The sequence below is a fragment of the Homo sapiens genome, chromosome 3, assembly GCF_000001405.40.
Source record: "Homo sapiens chromosome 3, GRCh38.p14 Primary Assembly".
Classification (NCBI taxonomy): domain Eukaryota; kingdom Metazoa; phylum Chordata; class Mammalia; order Primates; family Hominidae; genus Homo; species Homo sapiens.
Genome location: NC_000003.12, coordinates 12,530,374 through 12,539,775, shown reverse-complemented (window position 1 = coordinate 12,539,775; position 9,402 = coordinate 12,530,374). Strand labels below are relative to the sequence as shown.

The following is a 9,402-nucleotide window of genomic DNA, read 5'->3' as shown; positions in this document are numbered from 1 at the left end:
CGTGTATGGCTTTCCTTCAAGCATATGTCAGCTTACTACATCATAAGACTTCATAAAATAAAAATTGCCCTAGGTTTTAAAAATTATATGCATTCCAACAAAATTATTTTCATATCAATGAGGTTTTTAAACTAAGAATCCATTTACAGCATAAAGTGGTAGCACATTTTATTCACAGAGCAATGAAAATTATTCCTATAAATTAATGTGAGCTGAACAAATTCACCTTCCAATGTGCATACAGAAAGTGGGGATGTGAAGACAGCAAGGTGGGTGAGACACAAGTTATGAAGTAATGAGTACCTTCTCCTCGTGGTTTTTACTTTAAAAGCACATGCTAAGAGCTGGATGCAGTGGCTCACGCCTGTACTCTCAGCACTTTGGGAGGCCAAGGCGGGCAGATCACTTGAGGTCAGGAGTTCCAGACCAGCCTGGCCAACATAGTGAAACCCCGTCTCTACTAAAAATACAAAAATTAGCCGTGTGTGGTGGTGCGTGCCTGTAATCCCAGCTACTCAGGAGGCTGAGGCATGAGAATCGCTTAAACCCAGCAGGCAGAGGTTGCAGTGATCCAAGATCGCAGCATTGGACTCCAGCCTGGACGACAGAGCGAGACTACATCACAAGAAAAAAAAAAAGAAAAAAGCACATGGTAAGCTCATGATAGTGAACAACAGTAAAAAAAACCAAAAACCCCCTCAGAATCTAAATCAGGAAATGGTCACTCCTTTTAAAGGAGCTCTTCTGAGTCTATTTGCACAAACGAGCCCAGCAATGACTGAAATCAGTAAAATTCCAGCCTGTGTCAATTTCATTTTGCCTGACCCGACACATGGAGGCTCAGGGGTTGGGTTTGCTGCTACAAAGCACTTCCTCTGCCCACTGAAAAGGCAGAGTTCAGAAAGCACATGAAGAGAGGGCTATCTTCTTTCTCTGACACCTTCACAGGAGGCTGGGGAAACTGGGATGAGAAACTGTAAAGAAATGAGGTAATTTTTAACAAGTATGTTGGAGTTTGTGCACTGAAACAATCATCGAACTTCAAAAGGCCAACATGCAAAACATTCCCAAATTCCTCTTTGGAAACTTCTTCCAGAACTTGGTTGTTTTTGACCAAATGTGATGTACTACTTCACTTAATCTTATTCCCCAGCCTTGGTACTAACTGATGTCTAATTTCCAAAAATGAAACCCATCTTAAAGGTACCAATAACCGCCTCGTGTTAAAATAACTTAGGGGGAAGCCATTACACCGAGATGGATCCAACACCCAGTTCCAAATTAAACTAAATGAAACTTCAGATCAGCCAATCCTAAATGGCCAACTGAGCGTTAGTTACACAATCAGATACTTGCCACTGGGATAACCTAAATAAGACAACTGCTCAAACTTTAACCAACCAACTTCTCTCCTGTGCCTCCTCACACACCCTCTAAAAGCCTCCCTTCACACCCTCTTTCGGGAGCCCGAACCACTTCAGTTTTGGTGCGGCTTGATTCACGAATGGCTGTTTGCTCAAATAAACTTTAATGTGTTTTATCCTTTAACATTAGTAATAAAGATATTCAGAAAACTTGCTACAGATCCTTAAAGCTTGTTTCCAAATAGGCATTTAGTCCATGTTTCAGCACAGTTAACGTCAATGGGAAAGAATGCATGGCATAGCGACATTTGCATTTACAAGCTCAGGTACTTTCCTTCAAACACAAAACTGCCCACCCAGAATTTGATACCATTTTAAGCAGAACTATGACTAGTATTCCATGGTGTTCAAGAAATCAACAAAACCCCAGAGGGTAAAGATGAAAGAATTCCAATTTGCCCCCATTTCTTCACATTTTATACTAGGATTCAGCTTCTCTAGTCTAATTCTTTACTCATTATTAGTAGTAACGGCAGCTGCATTTAATGAGTATTCATAAAGGACTCCCCACCAGAAGAAACACTTATTCTTCCTTGTCAATCCTCAAGACCATCCTCTGAGGTGGGTCTTAACATTATGCTTCTTTTATAGATGAAAAGGGAAATTGAGGAAATGTCCAAAGTCATACAGTGGCAAAACTGGGGTTCAAACCAGGGTTTGACCATGAAAGCTGTGCCCTTAACCCCTGGGCCACACTGCAGTGGTCAAGAGGACAACCCCAGCAAATCGAAAGGGACCAACTGTACCTAGTATGTGCAGAAACTGGGTCAATACTTTGCCATCATTAGAGAAGAAAAAGGAGAAAATGAGGATTTGCTTTTATCAACATTCAAACATGGAAAGGAGGTAAACAATAAAAGTCAGCTAAAATAAATAATATAAGAAATGCCTATTTCATGCTAATTTCCCTTAGGGGCTGCAGCTCTTTTCTTTTTCATTTATTTATTTTCTTGGAGACAGGGTCTTCCTCTGTTGCCCAGGCTGGATTCCGGAGGCACAATCACGGCTCACTGCAGCCTCAACCTCCTGGGCTCAGGCAATTCTCCCACCTCAGCCTTCCCAGTGGCTGGGACTACAGATGCATGCTACCACACCCAGCTAATTTTTTAAAATTATTTGTAAAGACGGGGTCTCACTATGTTGCCCAGGCTGGTCTCAAGTGATCCTCCCACTTAAGCCTCCCAAAGTGCTGGGATTCTCACCCCTTAATTTTCAAGGAAAGCTTTAGATGGTCCCCATTTCTTATTTTAGGGGGTGCTCTCCAACCTGGAGGTGACATTGGCAAGAGCTGGCCTCATATTTCTTCTCTCTCACTTCAGCAGGCTACGAATTCCTTTTTTTTTTTTTGAGACGGAGTTTTGCTCTTGTTGCCCAGGCTGGAGTGCAGTGACGTGCTCTCAGCTCACTGCAACCTCCCACCTCCCGGGTTCAAGTGATTCTCCTGCTTCAGCTTCCTGAGTAGCTGGGATTACAGGTGCCTGCCACCACGTCCGGCTAATTTTTTGTATTTTTAGTAGAGACGGGGTTTCACCATGTTGGCCACTCTAGTTTTTGAACTCCTGGCCTCAAGCAATCCACCCGTCTCGGCCTCCCAAAGTGCTAGGATTATAGGCATGAGCCACCGCGCCTGGCCCCCTCCTCTTATAAATAAGACCACATACCAATCTATAGGTTTTGCCCCTAATAAAGGAAATCAGCCATTGATTTACACCAACAGATGGCAATGTTGCTCAGTCTGTAGAATTATGAACTGAGACTCCTTAGATTAAGTTTCCTTTATCGTACCAGCTAAATGCTAACTGAAGCACTGGCAGCAACTCTGTTCCCCAGATGAAATCCCAAGTTTCTTCCCAGCACCTCCTGAGATGTGCTTCTTTATTCCATTGTTCAGCACTCCCCGGAGCACACATCTGGGACTCAATCAATGTTCATGGGATGACCACCAGGATCCTTTTCACAGCAAGTGCCACAGTGTTTCCTATCTGAAACACTAAAATGATCTATACAAAGGTAATCTTCCAAAGCCTCTACAGCATGCATGAATTACTCCTAGAACCAGGAAAACCTACCATTACTAAAAAACAAAACAAAACAAAACCCCACAATGGCTGCATCTAGCTCCCTGTGTATAGCAGGTGCTTACTACAGTATTGCCTCTCCTCCCAATCTCCTCTGCTGTCTTCACTACTTTACCTCCAGCTATTTTTCTACCACCTTCTTCTCCTCCACTGACTCACCTACCAGGGCATAAAATAGGCTTTGCACTTCCTAGAGAAAATAAGGATGGCAATGCTTACACTTTGTCTGAAAGGGGAAAAGTACACCTACTGTGTGCCAGACGCTTTTGTATGTCATCTCATTTCATTCAGTCTGCAAAGCAACTGAGGAGGTGGTAATTATTCTTATTTTACTGTTGAGGAAACCAAGGCTCGGAGTGATCAAGCAACGTTTCCAACGTCGCCCCTGTTTTCCCAGTGGTGATTTGAAATGTGGACCCGAGTTTTCTGATTCTACTTTACCAGAATGTGCCATTTAAAAGTTAGGAAAATCCCAGCACTTTGGGAGGCCGAGGCAGGCAGATTATCTAAGGTCAGGAGTTCGAGACCAGTCTGGCCAACATGGTGAAACCCTGTCTCTACTAAAAATACAAAAATTAGCCAGGCATGGTGGCGGGCACTTGTAATCCCAGCTACTTGGGAGGCTGAGACAGGAGAATCGCTTGAACTCAGGAAGTGGAGGTTGCAGTGAGCCAAGATCTCACCACTGCACTCCAGCCTGGGCAACAAGAGCAAAACTCCATCTCACACACACACAACGTTAGAAAGAACATTTGCCTTTGAAATACTGTTTATGAAAATATAAAGACTCTAAAAATTTTAAATGACAGAAACCTTTCACTTAAGAGATCATACTTGCAATAAAAATATTGCCTCCTAGTTTAACCATTTTACAAATATGACTTTTACATCATGTAAAAGGCATCCCTATATTTCACAAAATTAGATAGACTCAAATTTTCCAGTTTTAAGATCAACTTTAGAAATGGGCCTCGGTTATAGTGTTAGGGGAGTTAACATTCATGGGATGATTATTCAAGTCTGTAATGAGATTTTAAAAATTCAATTCAGTTAGTAAAATCATACATGGGAGGTGGGTGGTGGGGAGGAGAGAAAATTTGTTTCTTTTTAATCCAAGTAATTCTCCACAAGGGTGAAAATAAGAACCACATTCAAGTAAATAGAATTTTTTTTTCTTAAAAAAAGAGAAAGCAAATACGTTGTAACAATAAAGGTAAAATGATTAAGACAAATTTTTTTAAATTATCAATTTAAAGTTGTCAATAAGTAACAATGAAACTTCAGGTTTTTTTTGTTTTTGTTTTTTAATGGAGTCTCACTCTGCCCCCAGGCTGGAGTGCAGTGGCTTGATCTCGGCTCTCTGCAACCTCCACCTCCCAGGTTCAAGTGATTCTCCTGCCTCAGCCTAAGAAGCTGGGATTACAGGTGCCACCACCACACCCAGCTAATCTTTTTTTTTTTTTTTTTTTTGAGACAGAGTCTCGCTCTGTCGCCCTGGCTGGAGTGCAGTGGCGCGATCTCGGCTCACTGCAAACTCCACCTCCTGGGTTCATGCCATTCTCCTGCGTCAGCCTCCTGAGTAGCTGGGACTACAGGCCCTGCCACCACGCCTGAGCTAGTTTTTTTGTATTTTTTAGTAGAGACGGGGTTTCACCGTGTTAGCCAGGATGGTCTTGATCTCCTGACCTCGTGATCCACCCACCTCGGCCTCCCAAAGTGCTGGGATTACAGTGTTTTTTGGGCTCTCCTTTACCCACACAACCACACGATTAGGTAAACATCATTAGCCACATGCTAGAAATAAGAAAATTGAGGTTATCAAGGGCAAGTAAACTGCCCAAGGCACACCACCACAGGGAAGCAGAGCTGAGATTTGAAGCATTCCTTTCTAGAAGGTTCATTTCACTACTCAGTTTTCAGAATTCTCTCTGGGGAATTAAAAGCCAAGTACCACACACTGCACCAAGGTTCTTACCCTTGGATCCATAGGTGGTCGTCATGGAATCTTTCTGACACTGTTTGCAAAATCACAGGCATAACCAGTAAGTAAGGGGGCTTCAGGCTGCACCCCACCCGAGGTAGAGGACTGTGTGGGAGCACAAAGCTGGCCCTGCCCGATGTGGTGGGTGGCCTTCCTTGTTAACCACCACCACCACCAAACAGGGCTCTATTTCTGACTGCATGCAATTTTTAGGATAGCGCCATTTCAGCTGAGATAGTGATCTCAGGTCCAGTCCTCCACGTGCATGACTGGTAGTGATGCACACCCGCCAACATCTCTGAGCTTCAAACACCCCTCTGTGGGTCCCTCCTCCTGAATTCACAAGGCTGCTGCAGGGATAAATACACAGGCATCTGCCGCATCTCAACTCCCACTCTCCAAATGTTTGCTATCACGGTTTGCAAAATATTTTACCCCATATTGGCTATCCAAATTAAATATAACAAACATGTAAGGGTTTGCAGCAATATCATTCAAGTAGTGTCTGGACCCATTAAGAGGATACAGCTCAGGCTACCACCTTAGCCTAAGTATTCTACCACCGAAGAGCAAGTATTCCCCCTTCCCATTTCCCCACCACCCACATTTTTTTTTTTTTTTTTTTTTTTTTTTGAGACAGGACCTTGCTCTATTGCTCAGGCTGGATTGCAGTGGCACAATCTCCGCTCACTGCAACCTCTTCCTCCTGGGCTCAAGCGATCCTCCTACCTTAGTCTCCTGAGCAGCTGGAATTACAGGCATGTGCTACAATGCTTGGATAATTTTTGTTAGTAGAGAGGAGGTTTCACCATGTTGCCCAAGCTGGTCTCCAACTCCTGGGCTCAAGCGATCCATGCGCCTTGGCCTCCCAAGGCCTCCCAAGTGCTGGGATTATAGGTATGGGCCACCATGCCCAGCCACCCATCTCCCTCCTCTTGCCACCAGATGCCCTGAGGCAACTTAAGTCTTCATGACTTTCTCACCAATTACAAAAAGGCTTTATTATATTTTGCCAAATGTTAATCGCTTTCATTATGTCTCCAAACATTATTTCACCACTCATTTTTATAACAAGTGCAGTGAAGATATGCTTATCGAATATTGTACAATACTGTTGTGTTCTGTAACACTCTTTCGGGAACAGCTTAGATGTAGGTAACAAGAGATGCCTGCGTATGAAAGTGCTTCATAAACTGTACTGTATAAATGTAAACTACTACCATTTTCAGGTAAAATCAGAGAATAAATGTCTCTTGTTGGAAGTGTCCTCTCAGGACTCCTCTAGTCCAATCTCCCCAGTGAGTGGATGAGGGAAAAGACTGACGCCAGAGGCAGGAGGCTCTGGATTGGAGAGTTAGAGGCCAACGCAAGTATAGAATCTGCAGTCCTAGCACAGGGATCTTTCTCCTCCCTTGTGTAATTTATCTTTAAAAACACTGATAGTTTTCTGGTGCTGGGAGCACCATGCCCTTTAAAACTTATGAATTAATGGACGATTACAACAAAAAGAACTTTTTACCTAGCCCTCAATAAATAGTTGTTGGTGAAATTAGAAATTTGAGGTTGAATTGTTAAAGATCGTCTTGGTCACTCCTCTCTCGTGAAGAAACCCATCGACTCAGAATCACCTCCTACAACCAATAAAAAAAAAGACCATTTCTTAAAACAGAAATGTAAGACCATTCTGACACCACAGCTGACACCACAGCTACATTTCACAAAGGGCGGTCTATATAATGATGATACTGTTCCCACCTTTAGAACAGAAACATCTGGAGAAAATGAATGTAACAATATAAACCTTACAAGCATACAGTATCTACTTTCACCAGGCAAAGATTTTAACAGCTAAGCTTGCCTCTGCTGTGGTATTCTACTAGCACATTTCAGAAACAGGTGGGCGGGATGAAAGCTAGCATTTTACATTAGAGCTAGGTCTGTGATGGCATTGCTGTAACGGGGCCAGCTACTGAGAAGGGAGAAATGAGGTTGATGAGCATTTTATGAGAAACTAGCCTAGTGGAGATAAGTGGGACCAACTGAAGGGAAGACGTGCTGGGGCCCTGGAGACCGACCAGCAGGTCTGCAGGGGCAGGGTGGTGTGAAAAGAAGACAGGACGACAACAAAGACATACTGGATGTTGGGAGGAGCCAATGGCAACGTTAAGGCTCTACACACAGAGGGAGGGAATGCAGAAACACGGACACACACTAGACAACTCGGCCAGACCAGAGAGAAACAAGCCAAGATGACAGGAGGCGCCTTGGTTCAATACAGAAGCCCAGAAGCAGGAACAAGTCAACAGGGACACCTCTGGTCTCTGGGAATGAGACCTGTGAGAAGTCCTGGCCTGGCCAGGGGGTCACAGGCCACCTGTAAGAGAGCAGTTTCAGCTGAGTGATGGGGACATCACAGGTAATAAAGTGGGGAATTAAGGAATAGAGGAAGTCAGCATAGATTTCGTGTCCAATGGGTTCAATGGGGAAAAGGTGAGAGACTTAAGAGCCTGCCTGAGAAGGCTCTGTTACCAAGGCAAAACTGTATTCATGTATTTTCTTGGGACCACATGTTCCAGATACACTATGATTCACAGAATCTTTGGGATGACATGAATTTCTCTGAGTTTACCCACCTGAACTTTAATCCTTTTCATACATTCTGGTGACTCCATTTCCTTGTCAGTCATAGTAGAGGGTTTAATCAAATAGCACAGCATAAGTTCCTATTGAGAAATGAAAAACCACTTCTGTATCCTACAAAATAATAGTACAAATTTGGGTGCATCAGCAGGAAATGCAGGTGGTCTCCAGTCCCTCTCACTGTGCACTCCAAGTGGAAACTCACAGAGCACATCAGTTTCCTCCTGGGGAAACCATAACTGGGATTTACGTTCTGACTAAGTACCTGCCGTTTAGTAATCACTGAACATGGCAACAGATATAAGCAGATACATTGATTATAAACACAGCATTAAGAATACTAAATATAGTAAGTCCTCAAATGTCCTTGATAGGTTCTTGGACACGGACTTTAAGTGAAATGATGTTGATACGGTTTGGCTGTGCCCCCACCCAAATCTCATCTTGTAGTTCCCACAATCCCCACGTGTCATGGAGGGACCTCGTGGGAGGTGATTAGATTATGGGGGACGGTCCCCATGCTGTTCTTGTGACAGTGAGTTCTCATGAGATGTGATGGTTTTATAAGGGGCTTCCTCCTTCACTCATCCTCTCATTCTTGCTCCTGCCACCCTCTGAAGAGGTGCCTTCCACTATGATTGTAAGTTTCCTGAGGCCTCCCCAGCCACATGGAACTGTGAGTCAATTAAACCTCTTTTCATTATAAATTACCCAGTCTCAAGTATTTCTTTATAGCAGCATGAGAATGGACTAATACAGATGTACAGCAGGTCTTCAAATAAACTTCAACATTGTTTTCTTGAAATGATGAGAAGAAAAAACGGTTTTGTTATACGACATTAAAGTTGCAGTTTCCAAGAACATATCAACAATGTTAAGTGAGGACATATTAAGTATATGCTACAAGTCCCCTAAAATGGGCATAAAAATTCTAGAAACAGTATAGGCTCCCTAATTTTCTATAGGACCAAGCTAAAGCCTAGGCAACCTAACCTGCTCTAAAGGGCAGTCATCTCTAGCCCTGCAAGACCCTCTGGCCTCAGCCCCACCTCACCTCCAGCAGCATGAGGATGAAATTAGAGGGTATCTACAATTTGTTTTCAGCCAGCAAATCACTGAGTAATGAGAACACACACAGCTTTCTTTCTTGATAGTCCTTGTGTAAGCTGAGTCCCTCCTATCTCTGATGGCAACACGAAGGATATAGTGAAACAAAAGCCAGGGAGCCAGAGAGCTGTGGGTTTGGATCCCGAGTATGCACATGAGCTGTGTGATCTTG

General features: G+C 43.4%; 1 protein-coding gene across 40 annotated transcripts in view; it reads right to left on the bottom strand.

Annotated features, from left to right (window-relative positions):
• TSEN2 (tRNA splicing endonuclease subunit 2) overlaps positions 152 to 9,402 on the bottom strand; it is a 59,394-nt gene continuing 50,143 nt past the window's right edge. For 16 of the 40 annotated variants that reach the window (XM_047449029.1, XM_017007296.3, XM_047449032.1 and 13 more), the window contains 2 exons: positions 8,117 to 8,206; positions 6,118 to 7,114 (listed from right to left, as the gene is read on the bottom strand). In XM_047449029.1, the coding sequence (XP_047304985.1) occupies positions 7,055 to 7,114; positions 8,117 to 8,206 (150 nt within the window). In that variant the 3' untranslated portion in view covers positions 6,118 to 7,054. Of the gene's footprint in view, positions 975 to 6,117; positions 7,115 to 8,116; positions 8,207 to 8,613; positions 8,922 to 9,402 lie in introns of those variants that run through there. The other 24 variants (XR_007095740.1, XR_001740289.3, XR_001740291.2 and 21 more) reach the window with 6 other exon arrangements.